Source organism: Homo sapiens, chromosome 19 (assembly GCF_000001405.40).
Source record: "Homo sapiens chromosome 19, GRCh38.p14 Primary Assembly".
In the NCBI taxonomy this organism is placed as follows: Eukaryota; Metazoa; Chordata; class Mammalia; order Primates; family Hominidae; genus Homo; species Homo sapiens.
In genome coordinates, this window is record NC_000019.10 from 1,353,912 (window position 1) to 1,379,333 (window position 25,422).

Sequence of the window (25,422 nt, forward strand, 5' to 3'; positions counted from 1 at the left end):
AATTTTTCTATTTGTAGTAAAGACGGGGTTTCACCATGTTGGCAATGCTGGTCTCGATCTCCTGACCTCATGTGATCTGCCCGCCTCGGCCTCCTGCTGGGATTACAGGAGTGAGCCTGTATCTTTTTTATAGAGATGGGGTCTCGCCATGTTGCCCAGGCTGGTCTCCAATCCTTGGGCTTAAAGGATCTGCCAATTCGGCCTCCTTTGCTTTTAAAGAACTGTGGGGGCTGGCGAGGTGGCTCAGGCCTGTAATCCCAATACTTTGGGAGGCCGAGGCAGGCCGATCACCTGAGGTCAGGAGCTTGAGAGCAGCCTGATCAACATTTAGTATTCTCTACTAAAAATACAAAAATTAGCCGGGTGGGGTGGCGCGCACCTGTAATCCCAGCAGGAGGAGGCTGCAGTGAGCTGAGCTCGCGCCACTGCACTCCAGCCTGGGTGACAGAGCGAGACTCCGTCTGAAAAAAAATCAAAAACCGCTCAGGGAAAGGCCTGACACTGATGGAGCGACCGCTCCGGGGCTCCCGCCACCCGCGGCTGTTTCCGGTGCCCCCCGGGGTCTTGGGACCCTCCCAAGGTGGGTCCTGCTCTAGTTCAGAAGCTTATGACGCCTTTGCGGGGATGCCTGGCTTTGGGATCGGTTGGGATCTGCTGGAATTGGGTCCGTGGCGCGCAGCTCCCGGGCTGGGAGGTGCCGTAGGACCTGGAAGATTCTCGAAAGTTCTGGAAGGTTCTCTCAGGGATCGCCGCGGGCGGGGGAGCCTGTTTTCCCACCGAGACCCGCGAGGGCGGTGTCCGGGGTCTGACTGCAGGACAAAGGGCCGGGAGCGCGGGAGGGCGGCGCCCGGGAGCGGCCACACATGCCCCGCCAACCGGTCTCCTCAGGCAGCACTCCCGGGAAAAAGGGGTAGACGCGCGGCGGAAGGGGCGGGGCCGGCGCGCGGCCGTGGACGCCGGAGAGGGCGAGGCCGGCGCTCCTTGGGAGCGCGCGCGTCCCATTGGGCAGCGGGCGGAAGGGGGCGGAGCTTGGCGCCGCCGCGAGGCAAGCCCCGCCCCCGGCCCCGCGGGGAGCGGCGGCGGCGGCGGCGGCGGCGGTGGCGGAGGCGGTGAGCGCGGGCGGCGCGGACGGCAGCGGTTGGCGGGCGGGTCCTCCGCTGTTGCGGCCGCTGCGGCCTCCTTGCCCGGGCTTGGGGCGCCGCGCTGGGGAAAGCCGGGGGCCCGGTGAGCCCGCGGGATGCGTCCCCTCGGTTCCGCCGGGCGGGGCTGAGGCGAGGAGGCCGGGCCTGGGGGGAGGGGGGGCCCCGGCCTAGAGACTCCTCCGGGAGCGCCCGGTCCCTACCGCCGTGGGTCCCCCACTCTGCCCGGACCCCCTTTTCCGCCCCTGGCGCCGTGGGCCCCTCACTTTGCCTGGACTCCTTTTCCCGTCCCTGCCGCCCGGACCCCATCTCTTGCTTGGACCCGCTCCCCCATCCTTGCTGCCTGGACCCCTATCTCCTTCCCTGGATCCCCCTCACGTCTGCCGTGAACCCCATCTCTTGCCTGGACCCCCATCTGCTTCCCTGGATTCCCCACCCCCAACCGTGAAATCCCCCATCCCTGCCACCTGGACCCTCCGCTCCACCTCCTCCGTGAGCCCTCGTTCTTGCTCCCTGAGCCCCCCCGCTTCTGCTGTGACCCCCTTCTCTGTTGCCTGAATCCCCCGTTCCTGCAAGCCGCAACCCTTCCTCCGCCATGAAATCTTGTCCCTGCTGCCTGGACCCCTACTTCTGCTGCTGCTGTGATCCCCTCTCTTGCTGGAAACGCCACCCCTACCTCTGCTGGGAACCTCCTCTTCCCTGCTGCGGGGACGCCCCCCTCCGTTGTTGCTAAATTCCACCCCCACCCCCAAACCTCCTTTTCATTTCTGTCAACAGCCAAGCCAGTCCTTCCCATTGATGCTGTGAACGGTCTGCAGCTGTCCCCGTTCTTTCAGGGACATGGCAGCCAAAAGAGCAGTCGTTTTTCCGCTCTTATTTTTGTGTGTGTGCTGTGGTCAACTGTTAACTCCCCAAATTGGGGAGGGTTGTGAGCTTTGATTGTGTAAAATGCCTCTCCTGCCGAGGTCGGAGGCAGGTCTTCCGCACGGAGATGATTTATTCAGGAGCCTTTTAAAACTGATCTAGATAGAACCTTTGGGAGGGACTGTGCTGTATTTTATTTATGAAAAAATGCAGGCGCCTCCCTGGATACCGAGCCCCGTCGTTTCTGTTTGTCAGTCTGCTTTTTGGCATTGAGCATCTCAATGCAAGATTGTGGAATTAAACCATCTACTTGAGGCTAAGTCGAGCTAACCTTTGCCCCTGAGGGCTGTGTCTGCGTTAACATCGCCAGCAAACAGTTGTATAAACCACCGTGCAAATTTCGTTCCAGGACACATTGGCGTGAGACCTGGGAGTACGTTGTGCCAAATCATTGCCACTTGCCACATGAGTGTAAATGATGGCGGATGCCAAGTATGTCCTCTGCCGATGGGAAAAGCGATTATGGCCTGCGAAGGTGACAGCCATTATTCTGTAACTTCAGGACTTAGAAATGACTTTCGGGTGACAAGTAAAATCTTGATCAGGAGATACCTAGGATTTGCTTCAGTGAAATAATTGAGCCAGAACACGGTTGGCACTGATTCTCGTTCCCCATTTAATGGGGTTTTGGTCTAGTGCTTCCAAGGTTACACTTCCAGAAATGTCTTTTTTTTTTCACACTAAAAAAAAAAAAAGAATCAGCTGTAAAAAGGCATGTAAGGCTGTAACTCAAGGAAAGATCTGGCAAGCAGCCCTGTGATAGTAAATTATGGTCGTGTTCAGGGAATGCTTTCCAGCAATTCAGTAGACAGTGCTCAGCTGCAATGCAAAAGCCCAGGTCCTTGTCTTTGTCTGCCACTGGCCTCTCATGCCTCAGTTTCCCCATCTGTGAAACAATGGGGATTGGACCAAATATCTGAAATCCCATGGTTATAGGCCTTCAGGATTACCTGCTGCATTTGTGCTAAAGTTTGCCACTGTTTCTCACTGTCAGCTGTTGTAATAACAAGGATTTTCTTTTGTTTTAAATGTAGGTTTTGGCCCGAACCGCGACTTCAACAAAAAATAAGAGAAGAAAGGAATATTTTCTAGCTGTGCAAATCCTCTCTCTAGAGGAAAAGTTAAGTGTTGTGTTGTTTTAATACTGTTTTTTCCCGTGTAGATTTCTGATACTTCAATCCCCTACTCCCCCAAAACAGTTGAAGCCCAGCCCACTCTTAATGGGCTTATTCACCATTTGTGTAATTCATTAATGCTCATAATAACCTCATGAGAAAGCAACTAGTTTGATTTTATGTCAGTTTGGAAGCTGAAGATCCAAACGAGGCATTCTGTGAGATCTATGGAGAGATTGGTACAAACACTGAATACATGTAAATTATACTCAGGGTAGACCCTATTTGTGGTTAAAATAGGGATATTTCCTTTTTTTTTTTTTTTTTTGACTGTTTCTTAATCAGTGCCATGCCAGGAAAATAGGGATGTTTCCTTCCCAGAGATCTGTGTGTCTTTTTTCAGAAACGTCTGTGACAGGCCCATCAATTTTGAAATATTTGGTTTTTGAGCCTGTCACTCTAAACCAGCGTTTAACGTTCAAAAGGCAAATAACTGATGACCAGGCGGCACATTGTTCTGCTCCGTGAGTGTCTGGCACTGGGAAAGGTGTAGATTGTCTAGAATGACAGCAATTCCGACGCCCCAGTCAGTCCTGCGTGATTGTGGCGAGGGCGCGTCTGGCACCGGGAAGGTGTAGATCATCTAGAATGACGGCGATTCCGACGCCCCGGTCAGTCCTGCGTGATTGGCGAGGGTGCATCTGTCGTGAGAATTCCCAGTTCTGAAGAGAGCAAGGAGACTGATCCCGCGTAGTCCAAGGCATTGGCTCCCCTGTTGCTCTTCCTTGTGGAGCTCCCCCTGCCCCACTCCCTCCTGCCTGCATCTTCAGAGCTGCCTCTGAAGCTCGCTTGGTCCCTAGCTCACACTTTCCCTGCGGCTGGGAAGGTAATTGAATACTCGAGTTTAAAAGGAAAGCACATCCTTTTAAACCAAAACACACCTGCTGGGCTGTAAACAGCTTTTAGTGACATTACCATCTACTCTGAAAATCTAACAAAGGAGTGATTTGTGCAGTTGAAAGTAGGATTTGCTTCATAAAAGTCACAATTTGAATTCATTTTTGCTTTTAAATCCAGCCAACCTTTTCTGTCTTAAAAGGAAAAAAAAAAAAAAACCATTCACCAGGGTTCTTGCTGCCTGTAACCTCAGGCAGATGAATTCCTAGTTGGCTGTGACTTTTGGTTTAAGTGGAAGGTTGAGGAGGAAAATGAAAATAATTCTTTTGTTATCTAAAGGAAAACATGTTTGAAAATGTCTTGGCGGCGTTGGCTGGTGGTGTGTAACGTCGATTTTGTCTCTGCAGAATTAAGGTGAAAAGCACTGAAGTTGAGATCCTAGAGAAGTCTCAAATTGAAGCCATTGCTTCCTCGTTAGGTAAGAGCGTATTTTTAAGTGGCCACTAGGTTTTCATAAAATAAGAGGTCATTTGGGAGAATGTGAAGGCTCAGCTTTCTGGGTAAAAATTCACCCTGTTCACCATGTTTTTCTTCATACAAGGGAACGCGAATCCCCTGAGCTGAAGGAGAAGGAAAAATGGATCCGCTTTCTTAAACCTTTCCAGAATTTGCCCCTAGAACCACTCCTATTCTTGACGCCCAGAATGGTCAGTGGTGAGCATCAAGGTCATCTCGTACCCCCGTGGCCTCCAGTACACAAGACGAGGAAGGACTTTGCTGCCATAAGGGGGGAGGTCCTCCTTTTTCCTTTCCTCTTCCTATAGTAAGATTTGCTGTGGTACTGTCGCTGCCTGGCCAGTCTGGTCTCAGCCCAAGGTTTGAGAAGCAGTTGGTTGTGTGTTTAAAATTCCAGAGCAGAGCCCAAGGGAGAGAACGGGTGGCCTGGCACTGGGGTTGGTGGCACCCATTGTTTGAGGCACTGTCATGGGGGGCACGAGGCAGGTCGGAAGTGGAGCTCTCGGCTTCCCATCCATCCGGGTGCGCTTTCTCCCAGGCCTTCAGTTTAGCACCCACCTCCTTTGCACACTGTGGGTGAGAAAAGCTTTGCCTGAGTCCAGCCGGGGACTGGTCATGCACATACATGACAAGTGAGGAGCACTGGTGACTGCCTGCCCCCTAGCCACAGTTGTGCAAACCCAAACCTGCCAGCCTTCCTTCTCAAAGTGGAACTGTTTATCCCATTTGCAAATAATTGTTTCTCTTGTGAAAAGATGGACCGGAATTCCTTCCAATGATGTTTATAAAATCAGGTCTATTTTCCTGTGTCTTCCGAAAAACAGCTCTTGTTTAAAGCAGGATCCATCTCTGCATAACTTAGGCCGGGCTGACCATCATCTTGGATGGCGTCGTCCTTGTTGGCGCAGATTGTGTTGGGGGGCTGGTTGTTTGTGGGCGCCTTTAATATTCAAAGGGGAGAATACTGTTCTGATTGAGGCATTATGCCCGCTGAGTTGTGATATTACATCCATCATCTTGTTCAAATAAATAGCGCCGTATCTATATGTCGGAATGAATAAATAAAAGTGCTGCAGCAGGGAGGTTGGGCTGGAAACCAGAGGCCCACGATGCTCTTTGCTGGCTTTGAAATGCCCTTGCAAAGAAGTATTGAAAATTTACCAGCCCACAATGAGTCTTTTAAATCTCCTTTTCCTTGCTACCACCAACCCCTGCACCAACCAAGAATACGTTGCCAGCAGAGTTCTTTATTTAGTTGGCATTGGTTTTTATTGACCCTGATTGAATTTGAAATTGTAAGGCTGAGAGAGGATTTGCAAAACATTTGAATACATTTTGCTCACGGTATTGTTTTGTAACTTGGAGGAATTTATCTTTTTAGCCAATCAGGTTAAGGTCAATAAATTTGGTTTTTAAAAAAATGAAGCCTCGAATCCCGGAATGAATAGCTGTCGTTCTGTAGCCTCGTCTCCTTTTTGGGAAAATGTAGGTGAGAAATGTTAGTCCTCCCCTTCAGTGATTTAGGTATGAAACTAGCCGTCAGAATGAGACAAGCGAGCTTCTAAAGCGATGCCGTGACCGCAGTGCCTGTGCAGTGAACGTAACCGGCATTGTGTATGTTCGGTCCTTGCAGCCTCACAGAATGAGGTTCCTGCGGCACCCCTGGAAGAACTGGCCTACAGACGGTCGCTTCGCGTGGCTCTGGACGTTCTGAGCGAGGGCTCGATTTGGAGTCAAGAAAGCTCTGCAGGGACAGGTAGAGCTGACCGGTCTCTGCGAGGGAAGCCCATGGAGCATGTCTCCTCGCCCTGTGATTCGAACTCCTCATCTCTTCCCCGCGGAGACGTGTTGGGCAGTTCCAGACCTCACAGGAGGAGGCCATGTGTGCAACAAAGCCTGTCAAGTTCGTTCACTTGTGAAAAGGACCCCGAGTGCAAAGTGGACCACAAGAAGGGGCTCAGGAAAAGTGAAAACCCAAGAGGCCCGTTGGTCCTCCCAGCTGGAGGTGGTGCCCAAGATGAGAGTGGGTCCAGAATCCACCACAAAAATTGGACTCTTGCAAGTAAGAGGGGAGGAAACTCAGCGCAGAAGGCTAGCTTGTGCCTGAATGGATCTTCCCTTTCAGAGGACGACACGGAGAGAGACATGGGGAGCAAAGGAGGCAGCTGGGCAGCCCCGTCCTTGCCCTCCGGGGTCAGGGAGGACGATCCCTGTGCCAACGCTGAGGGACACGACCCCGGTCTGCCGTTGGGCAGCCTCACTGCGCCCCCAGCCCCTGAGCCCTCGGCCTGCTCAGAGCCTGGAGAATGCCCTGCGAAAAAGAGGCCGCGCCTGGATGGCAGCCAAAGGCCGCCTGCCGTGCAGCTGGAGCCCATGGCAGCAGGGGCCGCACCATCCCCCGGGCCGGGGCCAGGGCCCAGAGAGTCTGTGACCCCGCGCAGCACCGCCAGGCTGGGCCCGCCTCCCTCCCACGCCTCTGCGGATGCAACCAGATGTCTTCCTTGCCCGGATTCCCAGAAGCTGGAGAAAGGTAAAAGTTTCTCGTGGAGGAGGAGAGCGCAGAGGGTGGAGTCCTGCTCCTCCGCAGCCAGACTGGGAGCCAGGCACGTGGGTGTTTTTGACCAGATTTTAATGAGATCGTTGCCAAAATAGACTTAGAGCAGAGACTTCCTCATTCCTTTTTGTCTGTCTCCCCACTGGGCTATAATTGCTTCAACTTCTAAATATTTGTCTTCTTATTTTTGTTTAGAAGGGAAGGGAGTTGAGTGAGTGGGGAGCCCGTAGAGGGGCGGCGGGCCACGATTGTCTGCGGCGCGGCTGGGAGCATTGTGGCTGTGCTGAGGCCGCAGCTGCGGCTGCACCCCGAGGATTAACTCTTTTAACGGAAGCAGTAACGCATTCCTATTAAATTGGGCAGCAATCTCAAAAGTGATTCACTCACTCAAAAGACTGACTTTTTAAAGAATTCCTGTGCAGATATATTTTTGTGTGGTTGCAGGCAAGCACTGTGACTTTTTTCCTTTTAACACTGTAGCATCCTTTATTTTTTAAATGCTAGTTCAGAAATCTTAATTACCACATGATCAAATGTCTGGAAATCTACTTGCTACAAACTTACCGCGCAGATATTTCAGTCTGTACTCTGAACTTCTTTCCTGAGGTCATCATCTCCTTAGCACGTTGGAAGCGGCAGGGAACTGAGGTTGCCACGCTCTGAAGACAAAGTGACCGCACCCCTACCCTGTTCCATAGTCAGCTCCCGTCCCGGCCCCCTCCCTGCGTATCCGCACCTCTGTCCTGTTCCATAGTCAGCTCCCGTCCTGGCCCCCTCCCTGCGTATCCGCACCCCTACCCTGTTCTATAGTCAGCTCCTGTCCTGGCCCCCTCCCTGCATATCCACTGATTGCTTCAGATGTGAAGGGACAGCCAGGCCGGGACAAAAGGGATTCCCACCCAGGGTGCGCGCAGCTTCTGTGGCCGAGGTGGCTGCTGCTTACGGCCCGCCTTCCCTTCACCGCAGGCCTCTCTCCCTCCCTCCTTCCCTCCTTCCCTCCTTCCCTCTTGCGTTTTTCTTTAAAATGTAGTTTATTAGAAGCGCACTCTGTTTGAATTTGGCAGTGTGGAGTTGTGTATAGCATGGAACCTTTTCTTTATGCATCGATGGTCATGTGTCATGAAATGTTTTCTTGGGATGAGTCATCAAGACAATGCAATGACCATGAAAGTCTAATATCACATTATTGGCAGAGTGCCAGTCTTCCGAAGAGTCCATGGGGTCTAATTCCATGCGTTCTATCCTGGAGGAAGACGAGGAAGACGAGGAGCCACCAAGAGTCCTTTTATACCACGGTAAGAAATGATCAGGGGGCGCCGGCAGTCCTAACGGTGCGCTCAGAGGCAGCGGCGGCGGGGCTCCGAGACCGGGCCCCACATTCTCCATGAAAGGTCTCCTGCGAGTTCATTTCTCTCCCACTGAACCGAGACCTGGAAGGGACCTTCAGAAGTGTCACGTTTTCAGTCCTCTATCTTAAGAATAACCTACACAAAGGGACGAGAGACTCCTGGGAAGAGACGGCCCAGCCCTCCCTGTTAGAGCATTACTCCTGTCACTTACCTCAAGCCCTTGTCCTCCTGTCCCCTCGCGGGGAGTGAGGGATGGCCCAGTGAGCCGAGGGGCTGCGTCGCCATTGCTCGGGTGTGGCCACGTACTGTCTCGCGGCTTCCGTTGGTGATGGCGTTTGGGGGGCTGTCCAGGGAGGCAGGGCCTTCAGCCCAAGAGTGAACTGCTCCCGCGCCCCTCCTGTAAGTAGCTGCTTGCACTAGAGGAAAACCTGCCTTTAGGTGCCCCTGAGCATCTACGTGGAAGGGACTAGAAATGAGAGACCCAAAGATCTGAGCCAGCCGCGAACAGAAAGTCGGCTTCGCAAACCAAGTCACAAGAACCAGCCCCACTTGAGACTCGCCCGTGAACCATTCCTCTTAACCAAGTCTTGTTTTTCTTTTCTTTAACCTTCTAGTTTCAGAATAATTATAGATTCACAGGATGTTGCAAAAATAGTAAAGGGAGGTGAGGGGGCTTCTCACCCGGGCTTCCCCACTGGCAGCATCCGTAAGGCGCAGGATGTCCCCGGCCAGGAAGCTGGTGCGTGTGCAGCCTCGGGAGCGCCATTCCACGCACACTTGCGTGCCGGTGGCCTTGTTATGTCGTTCTTTTTTTGTCTACACTGTTTGAGTGCTTTTCCATCATTGAAAGGGCTTCATTACAGTCTCACATTTTCCCTTTTTTTTGCCTAATGCTAATGGTCAGACTTTTTAACAGTTTTCCACATGCTCTTCTGATCCTTTTCCTCTGGGGTGAGCAGTCACCACTCACCAAACCCTGCCCCACCCATTGGGCACCTGTCTGGATGGTCCCAGGACCGCAGGTGCTGTGGGGCACCCATTGGGGACTTCCAGGAAATCATTTCTGCAGGATCCGTTCGCACACACGAAGAGCACAGTGCCCTCGGGAAGGGCCCTTTCCGACCACGCTGCCCCACTGGGGTTGGGTCACCGGGACATACAGAGGCTGGTGCTGCCTGGCTTCTCCTGCCTGCGGTGGGAGCTGGGTTTTGCTCCCGTTTGGTTTTGTTTTCTACCTGTCAGGCTGGGCGTCTTTCTGAGGGTTCCCTGACCGGCCTCTGAATTGATTGTTTGTCCACGTGGGCCTGGAAGTTTCTCTTAAAGACTAAATGCCCCTCACTGGGGAAACGACGCTGTGCCATGTTCACAGCAGACACTCACCCCAGTGGGCCTCCCTTTTTCTCTGGTCACGTTGGTTACTTCATAGGCCTTTAGGTTTTGATCTGTGTTTATGGACCACGGCACTTCCTTCCTTCCACAGTGCGGTCAGACACAGGCTTTGTGTGTCTAACGACAGACTGTTTCCAGTAGTTTTTCTAATACTTTAGTTTTAAAATTTTAAATAATTCACTTGTTTTTTGGCATTGAAAATATTTCATTCATAAATAGTTTCTAGTTATGATTTAAATAATTTTCCCATTTTTGACTGTAGTTTCCCAGAATCCTCTTTAGAATCTCAGTCCTTGTGTTTGGGTCTTCTCCGCGTGCCATTACCTCACCTCTGTTTTGTGCCACACACTCTTTAAAAGTGTCTTCCCGCGGGGTTTAGAGTTAGGAAAGTCGCGCACACATAGGACAGAGCCCCAGCCGCCCCTCGTGGCACCCCTCCCATCCCAAGGGTGCGTTTGTCGCAGCTGGGAACCCAGTGCAGCACCCCACTCAGCTGCTGGTTTCACTGTCTCATCATTGGTGGTTAGACTCAAGTAGTGTGGGGTATGTGAATCTGCCTTTCAGATTCTCCTGATCTTTTAAGCGAATGACACAAAGTCAGGTTTTAACAATATCGTGCTAACTGTGTTTTCTCAGGCTGTTACACCTGGTGCTTGATATGGATTTGACTTGTCTATTCTTTTTTTTTTGTTTTTCTTTTTTCTTTAATTCTAGAACCACGTTCGTTTGAAGTAGGAATGCTAGTCTGGCATAAACATAAAAAATACCCCTTCTGGCCAGCAGTGGTAAGAACAGCTTCCTCCGTCTTCTCAGATGTAGTTACTTAAATTTCATGAATTTTTATTCCATCCATCTTTAGTTCTTGATAATTTGATCAGGATAAATGTTTTCATTGTTTTGTTTTTCCTGGGAAAAGTTGGTGGGTTTTTAGAAAAGACTTCAGGAGATGCCTGTACCTAAATTAAGGCACAATGGTGTTAAGTTGATAGGCCACATTTTCACCAAGCAGGCTTAGAAAGACCTACTCGAAAAAAATATTTGCGGCCGGGTGCAGTGGTTCATGCCTGTAATCCCAGCACTTTGGGAGGCCGAAGTGGGTGGATCACCTGAGGTCGGGAGTTCGAGACCAGCCTGGCCAACATGGTGAAACCCTGACTCTACTAAAAATACAAAAAATTAGCCGGGCGTGGTGGCGTGCGCCTGTAATCCCAGCTACTCGGGAGGCTGAGGCAGGAGAATGGCGTGAACCCGAGAGGTAGAGGTTGCAGTGAGCCAAGACTGTGCCATTGTACTCCAGCCTGGGTGACAGAGTGAGACTCCGTCTCCGGGGGAAAGAAAAAGGAAAAAAAAGAATTGTGATTTGCTCATTTTAAATATTGTGCATTTCACCCCATGAGAGCTCATTAATTTGGATTTTGTGGTGGGGTTGGTTGCATGTGTACAAACAGGAATTCGAAATCCTGTCCAAGTTCCCGGTGTGGGTGATGAGTTCAAGCCGGGGCAGATTCTCTGCTTCTGTCTCTGCAGGCCTGGAAGTTGCAGGTCATTGGTTTGGGTGCTGTCCTGGCCTTCGCCTCTCCTTCATATCTTACCCCTTTTTCCCTTTATCCTCCTAAGACACAAACGCCAAAAGGCGTTGGCCCTGCAGTAATCCAGAGACGCCTTTGTTGCTCTAATGACTGACCTCACTCGAGTCACCCAGGCTCCTTGCATGTGACTGATTGTGGTTCCGGGAAACCGGGGATTGAATCTGTGTGGTGTTCGCTGGGGAGGTTCAACACGTTTATGGCCTAGCTGGGCTCCTTGTGTCGCCTACTGGCCGGCGGAGATGGAGGCCGGGCTTCTGGACCCTCCGCCCTCCCTTGGCACTGGTTTCCTCTCCCGCACCTTGGTAGTCTTTCCCTTGTTTTCATCAGTTTCTGGGGTCCCTGCTGGGTTAACAGGTCACTGATGTGACAGGTTCCTGGGGCATAAGAGCAGGCAGCCTCCCTGAGAGCGCAGGGCGGAAGGGCCATCGGAGGCGCTGGTCGCCACTGCTCCTCACTGCCTTCTCACGGTGGCCCCGGGAGGCCAGGACTGGGGAGGCTGTGGGGAGGTGGCAGCGCCCTGTAGTCCCTGCCCCTCCCCGTGTGGCCTGGGCTTGTTCCCGAGCCTTTCTGCACTTCCTCCACTCACCCAGAGCATTAGGAGGACAAACCTGCCCTGCTGAGCCGCTGGAGAATCTCAGGACGCTTATTTAAAGAGGCAGCTGGCAGCGGTAGCTGTGGTTCTTTTTATTCAAAAACCCAAACAAAACTGGCTGATTCCGCTCAGATGGGAAAACGTTCAAGTGATGCGTGTGGCAGAGCATGGGGCCGTTTCTCAGCGCCTCCTTGCGGGAGACTTCGCTGGGGTCACCCCCAGAGCTGGGGTCAGCGCCTGTTAGATGTATCATGTGATGTCACAAAAAAATATTTAAAATCCACGATCTCTTTTGTTTTGACGTTTTATTTTCTTGGATTTGTGAACAGGTCAAAAGCGTCAGGCAGAGAGATAAGAAAGCAAGTGTGCTATACATCGAAGGACACATGAACCCGAAAATGAAAGGGTAACCCGCTGTTCTTGGTTTCTGTGAATGGGCCTGAGGGGCCAGGCCGGCCGCTCTCAGAGTCAGAGCGGGCGTGGGGATGGAGGGACAGAGGGGAGGCCCCGGCAGGAGTCCAGGCCCGGGCAGGGCTAGTGAGGTCTCACTGGAGGTGTGCCCTTCTTGTGGCCTCTCACTCCCTGGGATGGGTGAGTCAGACAGAGGCTGGGTGTGAAGGGTCTGGTCAAACACCCCAGTTTTCACAACTTGATTTGCTGGCTTTGAAAGGCAGCCCAACCAGACACTCACTGGGGCCCTGTTTCCCACAAACCAGCAAAATGTCCACGCAGGTGTGCAGACAGCATCCCTGCGTCCACCTGAGTTTGCCCCTGGGTTACCTGGTCGTTCCTTAGTCATGGGATGAAAGCACACGTGGATGGATCAGCCGGCTGAAAGCAGCCTTTAGAACCATCGCATTGCATATCCCCAAGTCGAACGCGCAGAACCGGTGTCATCTGGTACTTCTGTGCTGCCCCCGAGGGGTGGGAGGTGTGGAGTGGAGACCCAGGCCCCGAGGTCGGCCTGTCCTGGCGGGGCCCAGTCAGTGTTGCTGAAGTCACTGGACCCACCATGGTGCATTGGGAGCTTCTTGGCAGCTGGGGAAACGGTCACCTTCCATAAATAAGCTGGGGCTGGTGGGGCCTCCAGCGGCCTCCACTGATCTTAATCAGAGACAGGGAAAGGTTTTTAGCTTATTAGAGGAAGTTCATTCATGTTAACTTTTCCCTCTCTCTGCTTCAAGTTTCACAGTGTCTCTTAAAAGTTTAAAGCACTTTGATTGTAAAGAGAAACAGACGCTTCTGGTAGGTGGATGATGTTTTGTGCTTGCTTTAAATGGTTTACTTTGTGATTAGTAAATATGTCCTCTGTGTGTAGCTCTTGAAATCCATGGCTGCGGTGTACGCGTGTGAATGATTGTGGGAAGTAGCAGAGCCAGGCTGCGCTCTGGCCGTTAGAGTTAGATCGTGGGCTCAGTCACTGCGCTGAATTCTCACAACTGTCCTGGGAAGTTGCGGCCCCATTTCCCCGCTTTACGGGTAAGGAAGCTGGGGCTCCGGCGAGGACAGTTTACCCAGGGCCACCAGGCAAGGCTACAGCAGAGAGCCTCTGCGCAAGGCCACCGCCTTCCCTGGCCGACTGTCTCAGTCCACCCCATGTCACGGTGGCCTCGGTAGCCAGCCCCTTGCGGCCGGGGGCGTCCCTAGCTCAGCGTCGGGAGCCCTGTGGGCGCTCAAGTGCTGCAGTGAGCCTGGCCGATACCACGTGGCAGACGTCTTGCTGCAGAGTGGCTTCCTGCTCCCTGGATCTGCAGCCAGCTTTCATCATGTGCTGTCGATGAACTGCAAGGGATTTGTCTAACTCAGAAATGTCTATTTCCCCTCTGGAAATACTCATTTTGTTGTGGCGACTTCCAGCACCAACACGTCAACTCAGTGCAGTTATTTTTACTCCTCTGGAAAAAAAGAAAAAGTGGTTGTGTCTTTTCCACTCTCAGGGATCTGAGTTACTTTCTTTTGTTTTTTTTGAGACGGAGTCTCACTCTGTTGCCCAGGCTGGAGTGCAGCGGTGCGATCTCAGCTCACTGCAACCTCCACCTCCTGGGTTCATGCGATTCTGCTGCCTCAGCCTTCCGAGTAGCTGGGACTACAGGCAGGCACCAGCACACCCGGCTAATTTTTGTATTTTTAGTAGAGACGGGGTTTCATCATATTGGCCAGGTTGGTCTCGAACTCCTGACCTCATGATCCGCCTGCCTCAGCCTCTCAAAGTGCTGGGATTACAGGTGTGAGCCACTGCGCCCGGCTGGAACTGAGTTACTTTCTAAAAATGGATGAAGGTGTGGGGTGAGGAGAAGAGCAGGAAGTTCCGTGCCTTAAACGCAGAAGGGCTGCCGTTTATATCAAAAACCCTGGGTTCTGAGAGCACAGGGTGCCCGCTTCTTCTTCCTAAGAGTGCGCTCACATCTGCTTGTGAGTCAGGTATGTGGTGGTCCCGAAGCCCACTTGATTCAGTGGTAGTCACCGTGGCTTCTGAGGGATGATATTGGGGAAGCCGTGCTTTAGGAAAGTGCGGGGGCTGCTGGGCAGGCAGAGAGCGGCGTCCACCCGGCCCTGGGATGTGCTTATGGGGTGCCCCCGTACCCCTAGTGGCCCTCGGCTCCAGAGTCTTCCCTGGGTCATTGTGTGATGGTCGTGGCTTTATGGCATCTTTGGGACGGCTGTGTCCTTTTCTGGGGACCCACCCTGCTGCCAGCCCAGGTGCTGTTAGAGCAGCCCAGGTGCTGGCCTAGCCTGGCTGCAGACGATAGCTCCCAACAAAAACGGCTGTTAGAGCAGCTTATTTCCAGGACTTGATGTCCTGTCATGTGGCACAGTGGCCACAGGGGAGGTGTTTGCACCGTCGATGCGTTCAGACCAGCCCAAGCCTTCGGGTCCCCGGTGCCCACCTGCGTTCAGACCAGCCCAAGCCATCGGGTCCCCGGTGCCCACCTGCGTTCAGACCAGCCCAAGCCATCGGGTCCCCGGTGCCCACCTGCGTTCAGATCAGCCCAAGCCATCGGGTCCCCGGTGCCCACCTGCGTTCAGATCAGCCCAAGCCATCGGGTCCCCGGTGCCCACCATTTGAGCAGCTCAGGGCCCAGACCTGTGCCTGGTGCGTTTCCCATTTACCAGAGGGTCCCTGTGCGAGGCGTCTGCCAGAGCCCCCTTTGTCAGGGAGGGTCAGAGGTGCGGGCTGGAGCGTGAGCAGCCTGGACACCTGGCTGGTCCCTGGGCTCTGCGTGGCTTCTGAACCCAGGGTGCTTGGCACTGCCTCCCACTGACGCCTGCTGCCCGGATCTCATTGTAGAATCAAGCCAGGGAGGACTTCAACCAGGACATCGGCTGGTGTGTCTCCCTCATCACCGACTACAGGGTCCGGTTAGGTACGTGGGGTGCTGGGGAGGGGTGGAGCTGGGCAGCAGGCGTCCAGCCTCTGAAGACCCCTTGGACGGGCTGGGCCGGAGCTGCCTGGAGGCGGGGCATATTTCCGTGGGCCTGGGGCATTCCCTGTGGGTGGGCTGGGGTTCTGGCCTGGCCTGATTATTTCCTAAACAGAGACGCCGGGCCAGCCCCTGGAACACACTTCCTGGGACTCCTCTTAGGTCTACACAGTGCTCTCTCCCCTCCACCCCCTGCAGGCTGCGGGTCTTTTGCTGGCTCTTTCCTGGAATATTACGCGGCTGATATAAGTAAGTCTACAGGCACATCTTGGAAAATGTGGTTTGCCTTTTAGCCCTTTAGAAAAACAATCTTCTATGTCTGAAGCTGTGGAAGGGGACGTTGGGGTCAAGGCACTGTCCGCAGCCACACAGCATTGTTCAACCTCTATGAGGTTTTGATGTGACCCTGAGGCTCCCTGGGACCTGGGGCTGCTGGTGTCCACTGGCACAGCATCCCGAGCCTGCCCTGGGGCCCTCATCCCATGGGCCACATCCAGCGTGTCCCTGCTGTGGCTGGTGGCTGCACACATCAGATGTTGTGAAGAATGTAGGCCAGGTGCGGAGGCTCACACCTGTAATCCCAGCACTTTGGGAGGCTGAAGCAAGAGGATTGCTTGAGGCCAGGAGTTCAAGACTAGCTTGATCAACAGAGCAAGACCCCATCTCTACAGAAAAATAGAAAAAAATGAGCTGGGCGTGTGGCTTGCGTGCCTGCAGCCCCAGCTACTCGGGAGGCAGAGGTGGGAGAATGGCTTGAGCCCGAGAGTTCAAGGCTGTGGTGACCTATGTGATTGCACCGCTGCACTCCAGCCTGGGTGACAGAGCAAGACCTGGTCTCAAAAAGAGAACGTGTCACGAACACCGGGATGTTTGGCCACCACTTCACTGTCGATCCAGCATTTTCCTTTATCGACAGTAGTGGAGTTTTCCATGCCTCCTGGTTGGTGGAGGAGTGGACGTGGCTGAATTGATTCTGCTTGGGCAGTGCTGCACGGGCAGGCGCTTTTCTCTGCTATAAGGGTTAAACCTGGCTGCAGGGCCCAGTGAGGGGGGAAAGGCCGGGGGTCCCAGCAGAGGAAGTGTCTTTAGGAGCGTGAATGCTCCACTCCCGTGCTAACACGGAGCTCGATCGCTAGGGTCTGCCCCCATCCCTGCCATGTCGCAGCCTCCCATCGGCCCTGACCCACAGCCACCCGAGGAAGGCAGCCCACGCGCTGGTCCCACGACAGGTGCTTCTTTTGCAGGCTATCCTGTCCGAAAATCCATCCAGCAGGACGTCTTGGGGACCAAGCTTCCTCAACTGAGCAAGGGGAGCCCCGAGGAGCCCGTGGTGGGGTGCCCCCTGGGGCAGAGGCAGCCCTGCCGGAAAATGCTCCCCGACCGCTCGCGGGCCGCCCGGGACCGGGCCAACCAGAAGCTGGTGGAGTACATTGTGAAGGCCAAGGGCGCGGAGAGCCACCTGCGGGCCATCCTAAAGAGCAGGAAGCCATCTCGCTGGCTGCAGACCTTCCTGAGCTCCAGCCAGTACGTGACCTGTGTGGAGACCTACCTGGAGGATGAGGGGCAGCTGGACCTGGTGGTGAAGTACCTGCAGGGCGTCTACCAGGAGGTGGGGGCCAAGGTGCTCCAGCGCACCAACGGCGACCGGATCCGGTTCATTCTGGACGTGCTTCTGCCCGAGGTGAGCCGCGGACCGGCGTGTCACGTGGGCAGGGAGGGGCCTGCGCTGGGATTTTGCAACTCCGCACGAGGAGGCTGCCACGGTCCTCGCCCCTGCTCCCTGGCCGTTCGGCGGCCAACGGAGCGTGGAGGCCTCCTGTGTTTACATCCTGTCAGTGCTGGGAAATGCGAGTGCGTGCGCTTGACCCTGTGCGGAGACGGAGCCGCTTACTTGACCCCTGTGCAGAGATGGAGCTGCTTAGAAGCTGTCAGCACCAGGGGGTGCGAACTCCCTCCCTACTGCGGGCGCACAGATGCTTCCCAGCCTCGGTGGGTCAGTCCTGGGAAACCCACTGCGAGTTGGAAATTCCCAAGTCAGAATCGCATTTAGTACCCAGATAAACCCACTGTAAGTTGAAAAACTGTAAGTGGATAATGCGCCTCATACTCTGATAAACCCGTGGTAAGTTAAACACACAAATTAGACTGTCTGTGATTTCGAACTTCAGCTGCGGATTTGGGGCTTGGTGAGGAGCAAATACAGATGATTTTGAAGTTTGTATCTGAAATTTCAGAGAGGACATTGCTGGGCATATGTGTACATCTGTGGGAAAAAAACATACTCAAAACTATTTAACTTTATAACTATGGGAATTTTCAAATAGACCCAAAAAGAAAATAGCATAATGAACTCTAATGTGCCCATAACCTGCCTGGAATTATTTTTTGGAGCATAAAAACCCTCAAGCTTTTTTTTTTTTTTTTTTTTGAGTTGGAGTCTCGCTCTGTCACCCAGGTTGGAGTGCAGTGGCGCAATCTCGGCTCACTGCAAGCTCTGCCTCCCAGGTTCACGCCATTCTCTTGTAGCCTTCCAAGTAGCTGGGACTACAGGCGCCCGCCACGACGCCCGGCTAATTTTTTGTATTTTTAGTAGAGACGGGGTTTCACCATGTTGGCCAGGATGATCTTGATCTCCTGACCTCGTGATCCACCCCCCTCAGCCTCCCAAAGTGCTGGGATTACAGGCGTGAGCCACCACTCCCGGCCACAGTTTTTTTTTAAGCCCATAAATACTTCAGTGTGTGTCTCTAAAAGGAGGGTGATTCTGCCCCCTGGGGGACACTGGCAGTGTCTGGGGACATCTGTGCTTGTCACAGCTAAGGGTGCTTCTGGCATGGAGTGGGTTGGGGCAGGGACGCTGCTCAGCACCCTGCAGCGCCTAGGACAGCCCCACCTCAGAGAACAGTCTGGCCCCGACGTCCACAGGGCCGAGTGGGAGAGACTCTGCTCTGAACCGAATGGACTCTGTTAAAAATGTGTTTACCATAATCACAAAAGTAAAAAATAGGGATGATTTCTTAATGTCAGGTATGTATTGTGTATTCAGGATACTCTTTTTTTTTTATAACAATAAACTTAAGGCCGGGTGTGGTGGCTCGCATCGGTAATTCCAGCACTTTGGGAGGCCGAGGCAGGTGGATCATGAGGCCAGGAGCTTGAGACCAGCCTGGCCAACATGGTGAAACCCCGTTTCTACTAAAAATACAAAAATTAGCTGGGCGTGGTGGCGCGTACCTATAATCCCAGCTACTCGGGAGGCTGAGGCAGGAGAATCACCTGAACCCGGGAGGCAGAGGTTGCAGTGAGCTGAGATTATGCCATTGCGCTCCAGCCTGGGCGACAGGGCGAGACTCTGTACCAGAAAAAACCGCCACCAAAAAAAAAACTTAAAATTTTTGAGAAATGCTCTTGTGGGTTTGGGTCTTGCCTTTTCTTCTCTGCTTTTAGTGATCTGAGCTATTGTGTCTAGTCCGAAAGATAGTACTGATTTAATTAAGAAACATCATTACAAGCAGGGATTCATGGACTAGGTTTGCACCTTCTGAACCATGAGCTAGACCATGTCTGGAGGCTGGAACCTGGTGACCCAGGCTCCCTGCGGCCTTCTTAACCGCAGGCCACTTGGGGCCAGTTGGGCAGTGCCTGCTGCTATTGAGCCCCGTGCCCTCTCACAGGCCATCATCTGTGCGATCTCTGCGGTGGACGAGGTGGACTACAAGACGGCTGAGGAGAAGTACATCAAGGGGCCTTCGCTGAGCTACCGGTAGGCCGCTCCCGGCGCTATCTCCAGCCACTTGCGTCTCTGCCTTGCAGTTTCTATTTCCACACCCACAGGCAGTTTGACTCCAGGCTGCCGCAGCCCCTCTCCCTCATGAGGTGGCCCAGGTGCTGGGTGGTGAGCTGATCACATACGCTGAACTCACCCTGTGGGTCACTCCTGCCCCCCAGGAAGGCTGTGCCCGGGTCTCCCAGCTGGTCGCTGTGGGCAGCACGGGGCCACGGGCACGTGCCTGGGCCGTGTCTGTTCTTAATCTCTTTTTGCAGGGGCTGATGTTTGCTTTTTGCACTTTCCTCCCCTCTTTCCACAGCCCCATGGCTGTGTGAGAAATACAGCAAGATTAAGCAGCAGCACGGCCCGGTGCTTTCCAGCAGCCAGAAGAATGCTGTGATCAAGATGTTTCTCTCACATCCGTGTGCTTAGCTGCCCTTGGATGTTTGGCCCCCAGAGCGCCTAATCCTGTCTCTGGGCATGCGGCCAGGCCTTGCTGGGAGCCAGGCGGGGCCCACGGGGCAGTGACAGGCTGAAGACTCAACTAGAGTCAAGGACAGGGTCTCCGGCCAGGGTGGCTTGCGCAGCCACCGACGTCTCCCGGGCCCACAGTCACAGGAGACTCCTGGTGAAGACACTGAACTCCCTCACCAGCCCCATGTCCTCCCTGGGCAGGGCAGGAGGGGCCCCTGGAGAGGCCAGGGAGGAGGTGTGGGGCCTCGGTGGCATTGGCAGGCCACCCCCGCAGAGCTGCACAAAGGTGGAATTTGGCCTTGTTTAGGGAGTGTTGGCCCAGCTGGCTTACCAAAACAGGAAAGGCCTTTGGATACAGAAACTGGGTGTTTTCCTGCTGGATCTTCATGGTTCCCCCGTCATGCTTGCCGTAAGAATAAGTGAGGTCCGGGGAGGGGGTAAGGTCGGAGCCAGGACACCTGGACCCAGCCTGCTGGTTTGTCCTCTCCCTCCGTCTCAGAAGCCTCTTCACCGCTCCACGCCCATCTGTGGAAATCTTTCATCCTGATTTTTTTTTTTGAGTCTGGGTTGCCGACATCAAAACCCGTTAGGAGTTCATCACAGCTTCCAGTTGCCATGAAAGCCTCCCGTGACCTGTGAGAATGGTGCTGGTGCTGATGGAGAAGTTACTTGGGCTGAGCACACAGGCCGTGATTTCATCACGCCGGGGACATGCTCAAAATAACAAGCCAGTGAGCAGCATCGCACTTGATCTTTGGCCTCAGTGGAGCCTTGGGTCACACACTGGGCGTCCTGGGACCCAGTCTCCCCGCCGCACGGCGTTTCCCAGGCCCTCTTGTTCTTTTAGAGTTGCACCATGAGCCTCTCTGCACTCTTCCCAAGGCTGTCCTCCTCAGGTCTGCCTTTCTCTGGTGCTGCGGCCGGTGTGCTCTCCCCTATTTCCAGGTCTGCTGGGGCGCACATCAGAGCCAGCAGCCGTTGTTGATCTCTTTTGATCCAGGGCAGCCCTATTGCTGAGAGGGGTTGCTAGCTAAGCAATTGTTATAATTTTCCTTTACAGGGAGGTCACTTAGTAAGGACAATTTGGCATCTCATACTCTTTCGTAAAAAATTATTTTTAGTCAGTCACAGTGGCTCATGCCTGTAATCCCAGCACTTTGAGAGGCTAAGGTGGGAGGATCCTCTGAGCCCAGGAGTTTGAGGCTGTAGTGAGCCATCATTATGCCACTGCACCCTAGTCTGGGTGACAGAGCAACACCCTGTCTCTAAAAATAAATATTATTTTAAAACATTGTTAAGGCCTGGTGCGGTTGCTCACGCCCATAATCCCAGCACTTTGGGAGGCCGAGGCAGGTGGATCACGAGGTCAGGAGTTCGAGACCATCCTGGCCACCATGGTGAAACCCCATCTCTACTTTAAAAAAAAAAAAAAACCAAGCATGGTGGCACGCGCCTATAGTCAGTCCCAGCTACTCAGCAGGCTGAGGCAGGGGAATCGCTTGAACCCGGGAGGTGGAGGTTGCAGTGAGCTGAGATTGTGCTACTGCATTCCAGCCTGGTGACAGAGCGAGACTCCGTTTCAAAAAAAAAAAAAAATATTACACATCCTGTAAAAGTTACCATCCTAACCTTCTTAAGTGTATGGTTCGATGGCGGTGAGCACTTTCACAGTGCTATGCAGCCGGTACTGCTGCTCATCTCCGAACTTCATCTTTCCAAACTACAGCTCTGTCCCCATCAAACAACTGCCCTCTCATATATATATAATATATATTATATATATAAAATATATATAGCCATATATATTTATATATAATGTATATTATATAAAATTTATATATTATATAAAATATATAAATTTTATATATAATATATAAAATCATATAATTTATATATTTTATATATAAAATATATATTATATATAAAATATATTATATATAAAATGTATAATTTTATATATTATAATATATACAATTATATAACAATTTTATATATTATATAATATATAATTGTATATATTATATATAAAATGTACAATTTTATAATATATAAAACAATTTAATATATAATATATATAAAGTATGTATACTTTATATTATATATAAAATATATAATTTTATATATCATATGTATATGTAGACATACACACACACACATATGTATTTATTTATTTTTTTTTTTTTGAGACAGAGTCTTGCTCTGTCACCCAGGCTGGAGTGCAGTGGCACAGTCTCGGCCCACTGCAACCCCCCCACCGTGCCTTGGTTCAAGCGATTCTTCTGACTCAGCCTCCCGAGTGGCTAGGATTGCAGGTGCCCACTACCACGCCTGGCTAATTTTTGTTATTTTTAGTAGAGACAGCATTTCACCATCTTGGCCAGGCTGGTCTTGAACTCCTGATCTCGTGATCCACCCACCTCGGCCTCCCAAAGTGCTGGGATTACAGGCGTGAGCCAAAGTGCCTGGACTCTCTGTCATACTCTTTTTTTTTTTTTTTTTTTTAGAGACAGAATTTAGCTCTGTCGCCCAGGCTGGAGTACAATGGCATGATCTTGGCTCACTGCAAGCACCACCTCCCGGTTTCAAGCGATTCTCCTACCTCAGCCTCCTAAGTAGCTGGGATTACAGACATGCGCCACCACGCCCGGCTGTTTGTTTTTTTTTTTGTTTGTTTTTTTTTTTTTTTGGTATTTTTTGTAGAGACAGGGTTTCACCGTGTTAGCCAGGATGGTCCTGATCTCCTGACCTTGTGATCCGCCTGCCTCGGCCTCCCAAAGTGCTGGGATTACAGGCGTGAGCGACCACACCCAGTCCTCTCTCTCATATTCTTTAACACACAATGATTAATTACTAAAATGAAGACTCTTGTTTTCTGAAGGGAAAAAGAAATATTTGACAACCAGCTCCTTGAAGAGCGGAACCGGCGCCGTCGGTGAGGGAGCAGCCGGCTGTGCTGTCAGCGGGGCCTGGCGGTGGAAGCGCCTCCAGTGTGCATGAGCGTGTCTGAAGATGGGGGGCTCAGGGGGCACGTTTGCGTTTGGACCTGTCTGTGCGTTCTCCTGCGTGGCAGTCCTGATTTCCATGCTTCTGGAGAATCCATTTCGTTAACACTGAAAGCCAGTTCTCTTTTCCTGGCAGTTTTTTTCATTTTATTTTTGGCATTTTTTACAAGATACCGTTCGGGAAAGGCTTTTGAAAGGACGGAAGCGTATTCACTGTGCGCCAGTACTCCTGGCTGTGCTGTGGTTTCTCCCGACGTGCACATCGATCTCGTATGTGTGGCATCTGATATTAAACGGGAGGTTTTAAGAAGCGTCTGCCGTGATCATGGAGCTTCGGAAGCGGGAATGGTTCTTCCGGGTTTGCTGTTTTGTCTGTTTCCCCCTTGTGTGGTTTCCGCCTGCGACAGTTCCAGAATTTGCTCTCCCACTCAGTGTGCTCTGCAGCTGTGAGGAAACAGCCTTCGTTAGAGGCGGGAGCAGAGACGAGCCGCTGCTCTGTGTCGTGTTTGCTGTGGCCGCAGGGAGAGGAGCAGGACACGCACCTTTCCAGGGGCCTCTGTGTCCCGCACTGTGTGTGAGTGGACCGCAGCGCGCAGCCACATGCCCTGGCTGCCATGGGCCAGACCGCCTCCACCTCCCCCGCCCGCCTGGCCTGTCCTGAGTGCATTTCCCTGCACTGTGTCGTCACTGCACAGCCAGTCACCGCGGTCTCAGTCATCGGCGCGGATGGCTATGCTGGGGTCCCAGGGTGGCCGCAGCAGTCAGGGTCACTGTGGGAGCCCTGGGGTGGAGTGACAAACCGCATTGTCCTGTGCCCGCCATGGCAGAAGCGCAGCCTTTGTATGGAGGCCCAACCGCGCTCCCGTCTGGAGAAGCGGCTTCCGGGGTGTGGCTGCCGGGTCGGCTCTGGTCCACAGCACGGTGCCGGGGCTGCAGGTTGTTGAGGGCTGTGACTCCGTGGGGCTCAGCCAGGCTCCAGCAGGGTCAGACGTGCTGTTAAGAGCAAAGCCACAGACGATGACTTGTCCATTCTCAGTGGATGCTCCAGGCTGTGCCTACACAGCAGTGCTGGTGACATGTCCAGGGTTCCAGGGCCCGGTGGCCTGGGAGCTGCTTTCTCCCCACTGGCTGGGCTGCATCTGGCCCTGGCTGGAGGCCTTGCTTTGAGGGGCTGTGACCCTCTTCCCCCAGGCCCTCCCCAGCCGACGACAGCCACCGGAGAGGAGATCGGAACACGATTGTCTCAGATGCAGGGCGCTGTGCGGGACGAAGCCGCAAGGACTCTCGTATCGGGCCCTTGGGACTCGGGAGGTGCCAGAGGCGGCGGCTGCTCTGGACCTCGGTGTTCACTGACCTTTGTTTCACTTGCCTCTGCTCGACTCCGAGAGCAGGAAACCCGGCCGTGGCCTGGCAGCTCCGCCTCCCATGCCCGCACGCTGGGGTCTGTCTTGTCTGGAGCAGTGGGGCACACCCCGGAGGAGGCGGGGGTCAGGGCTGTCGGCCTTGGCCCCCTGCTGGTCGCTGTTTCGGGGACTCGGGGCGGCCAGTACCACCGCCTGAGGCGGGGCTCAGCAGCGTTGCATGTACGGGCCTCGTACTGCCTCATGGAAAATCCTCCGGAGCCGCCCTCCATTGTGGGTTCCTGAGAGTAGGACACATTGCCATGGTTTTGTGGGAATCACGCGCCCCTGATGGAACTTTTCTGCTGTTGTGAAGTACTTTTATCCATTTGCTTCTCTGCTGACCTTGCCAAGTTGTTCGAGGTGGAATTAAACACCTCCCAGACCTCTGGCTTGTCTTTTCTGAACCCCCAAACACATCCCACTGCATGGGTTGTCCAAGCTTGGAAATGGGAGAGTGACCCTGCCATCCCCAGGGACATGGCCTGGCCTTGGGGTGGATTCCCACCTCACTGGCGGGCCTAGGGTGCTGTTTAAACAGCAGCCAGAGGCTGGGCGCGGTGGCTCACGCCTGCAATCCCAGCACTTTGGGAGGCCAAGGCAGGTGGATAACCTGAGGTTAGAAGTTCGAGACCAGCCTGGCCAACATGGTAAAACCTCATCTCTGCTAAAAAAAATTAGCGAGCATGGTGGTGGGCGCCTGTAGTCCTAGCACCTGGGGAGGCTGAGGCAGGAGAATTGCTTGAACCCGGGAGGCAGAGGTTGCAGTGAGCCGAGATCACGCCACTGCACTCCAGCCTGGCCACACAGTGAGACTCCGTCTCAAAAAAATAAACAGCAGCCAGGGGCCTCACTGGGGTTCATGCCTGTGGCCCCAGCTACTGGGGAGGCTTAGATGGGAGGAACACTTGTTTGGAGGTCAAGGCTGCGGCTCCAGTGAGCCGAGATCACGCCACTGCACTCCAGCCGGAATGACGATGAGCACCTGTGTTGCAGCATAGCCCTGCCCAGCAGGTGGAACCAGAATGTGCCAGAGGCCCCCTTGTGCGTCCCACCCCGCCTGCACCCTCTGCCCTTACTGTCCTGTGGGCTCTGAGGGTGTCAAGGCCGCTGGGACAGGCCCTGCCTGGGTGCTTCCCTCAGTAATGGGGGGTCGTGGGTGCTCTGGGTTGTCAGCCGGGCAGTTGAGTGGGAGTCAGGGGTGCTGACCTCACAGGCACGGCCAGTGAGGAGCATTCCGGGGCCCTGAGGATGCCAGCATGGGTGGTCCTGGGCTCGCCCTCTCCACAGC

General features: G+C 53.4%; 1 protein-coding gene across 19 annotated transcripts, besides 10 other annotated features; it reads left to right on the plus strand.

Moving 5' to 3' along the window:
- Positions 707-806: a silencer, noted in NCBI's record as "silent region_9701". NCBI's record gives its function as "represses an Ori minimal core promoter by ATAC-STARR-seq in GM12878 lymphoblastoid cells {active_cell/tissue: GM12878}" and the evidence as "EXISTENCE:reporter gene assay evidence [ECO:0000049][PMID:35858748]".
- Positions 792-952: a silencer, noted in NCBI's record as "fragment chr19:1354702-1354862 (GRCh37/hg19 assembly coordinates)". NCBI's record gives its function as "represses an EF-1alpha promoter that drives an FKBP-Casp9 reporter gene in an ReSE screen in K562 erythroleukemia cells {active_cell/tissue: K562}" and the evidence as "EXISTENCE:reporter gene assay evidence [ECO:0000049][PMID:32094911]".
- Positions 792-1,734: a biological region, named in NCBI's record as "H3K27ac-H3K4me1 hESC enhancer GRCh37_chr19:1354759-1355644".
- Positions 837-1,126: a silencer, noted in NCBI's record as "silent region_9702". NCBI's record gives its function as "represses an Ori minimal core promoter by ATAC-STARR-seq in GM12878 lymphoblastoid cells {active_cell/tissue: GM12878}" and the evidence as "EXISTENCE:reporter gene assay evidence [ECO:0000049][PMID:35858748]".
- Positions 849-1,734: an enhancer, noted in NCBI's record as "H3K27ac-H3K4me1 hESC enhancer chr19:1354759-1355644 (GRCh37/hg19 assembly coordinates)". NCBI's record gives its function as "activates a minimal SCP1, AML or CMV promoter by ChIP-STARR-seq in primed H9 embryonic stem cells {active_cell/tissue: H9 hESC(primed)}" and the evidence as "EXISTENCE:reporter gene assay evidence [ECO:0000049][PMID:30033119]".
- On the plus strand, positions 1,048-24,518 carry PWWP3A (PWWP domain containing 3A, DNA repair factor). 19 transcript variants are annotated; one of them, NR_168278.1, is made up of 15 exons: positions 1,048-1,224; positions 2,413-2,538; positions 3,098-3,183; positions 4,483-4,553; positions 4,677-4,789; positions 6,225-7,121; positions 8,339-8,440; positions 10,598-10,668; positions 12,394-12,470; positions 13,249-13,309; positions 15,354-15,429; positions 15,685-15,735; positions 16,731-17,167; positions 19,161-19,249; positions 22,608-24,518. NR_168278.1 is itself a non-coding variant. In NM_001369790.1 (15 exons), the coding sequence occupies exons 2-15, from the start codon at positions 2,482-2,484 to the stop codon at positions 22,663-22,665; spliced, it is 2,235 nt and encodes a 744-aa protein (NP_001356719.1). In that variant the 5' UTR covers positions 1,048-1,109; positions 2,413-2,481; the 3' UTR covers positions 22,666-24,518. The 19 variants fall into 19 exon arrangements, 12 of the variants coding, with proteins under 12 accessions (NP_001356719.1, NP_001356718.1, NP_001369337.1 ...); NR_168277.1 differs by lacking the exon at positions 4,677-4,789 and adding an exon at positions 3,582-3,702 and having other exon boundaries at positions 1,048-1,109; NR_024247.2 differs by having other exon boundaries at positions 1,048-1,109.
- Positions 1,187-1,256: a silencer, noted in NCBI's record as "silent region_9703". NCBI's record gives its function as "represses an Ori minimal core promoter by ATAC-STARR-seq in GM12878 lymphoblastoid cells {active_cell/tissue: GM12878}" and the evidence as "EXISTENCE:reporter gene assay evidence [ECO:0000049][PMID:35858748]".
- Positions 7,819-8,489: an enhancer, noted in NCBI's record as "H3K4me1 hESC enhancer chr19:1361729-1362399 (GRCh37/hg19 assembly coordinates)". NCBI's record gives its function as "activates a minimal SCP1, AML or CMV promoter by ChIP-STARR-seq in naive H9 embryonic stem cells {active_cell/tissue: H9 hESC(naive)}" and the evidence as "EXISTENCE:reporter gene assay evidence [ECO:0000049][PMID:30033119]".
- Positions 8,119-8,413: an enhancer, noted in NCBI's record as "tiled region #14028; K562 Activating non-DNase unmatched - State 14:Gen5'". NCBI's record gives its function as "activates a minimal TATA promoter and a strong SV40 promoter by Sharpr-MPRA in K562 cells {active_cell/tissue: K562}" and the evidence as "EXISTENCE:reporter gene assay evidence [ECO:0000049][PMID:27701403]".
- Positions 14,558-15,058: an enhancer, noted in NCBI's record as "H3K27ac-H3K4me1 hESC enhancer chr19:1368468-1368968 (GRCh37/hg19 assembly coordinates)". NCBI's record gives its function as "activates a minimal SCP1, AML or CMV promoter by ChIP-STARR-seq in primed H9 embryonic stem cells {active_cell/tissue: H9 hESC(primed)}" and the evidence as "EXISTENCE:reporter gene assay evidence [ECO:0000049][PMID:30033119]".
- Positions 15,059-15,559: an enhancer, noted in NCBI's record as "H3K27ac-H3K4me1 hESC enhancer chr19:1368969-1369469 (GRCh37/hg19 assembly coordinates)". NCBI's record gives its function as "activates a minimal SCP1, AML or CMV promoter by ChIP-STARR-seq in primed H9 embryonic stem cells {active_cell/tissue: H9 hESC(primed)}" and the evidence as "EXISTENCE:reporter gene assay evidence [ECO:0000049][PMID:30033119]".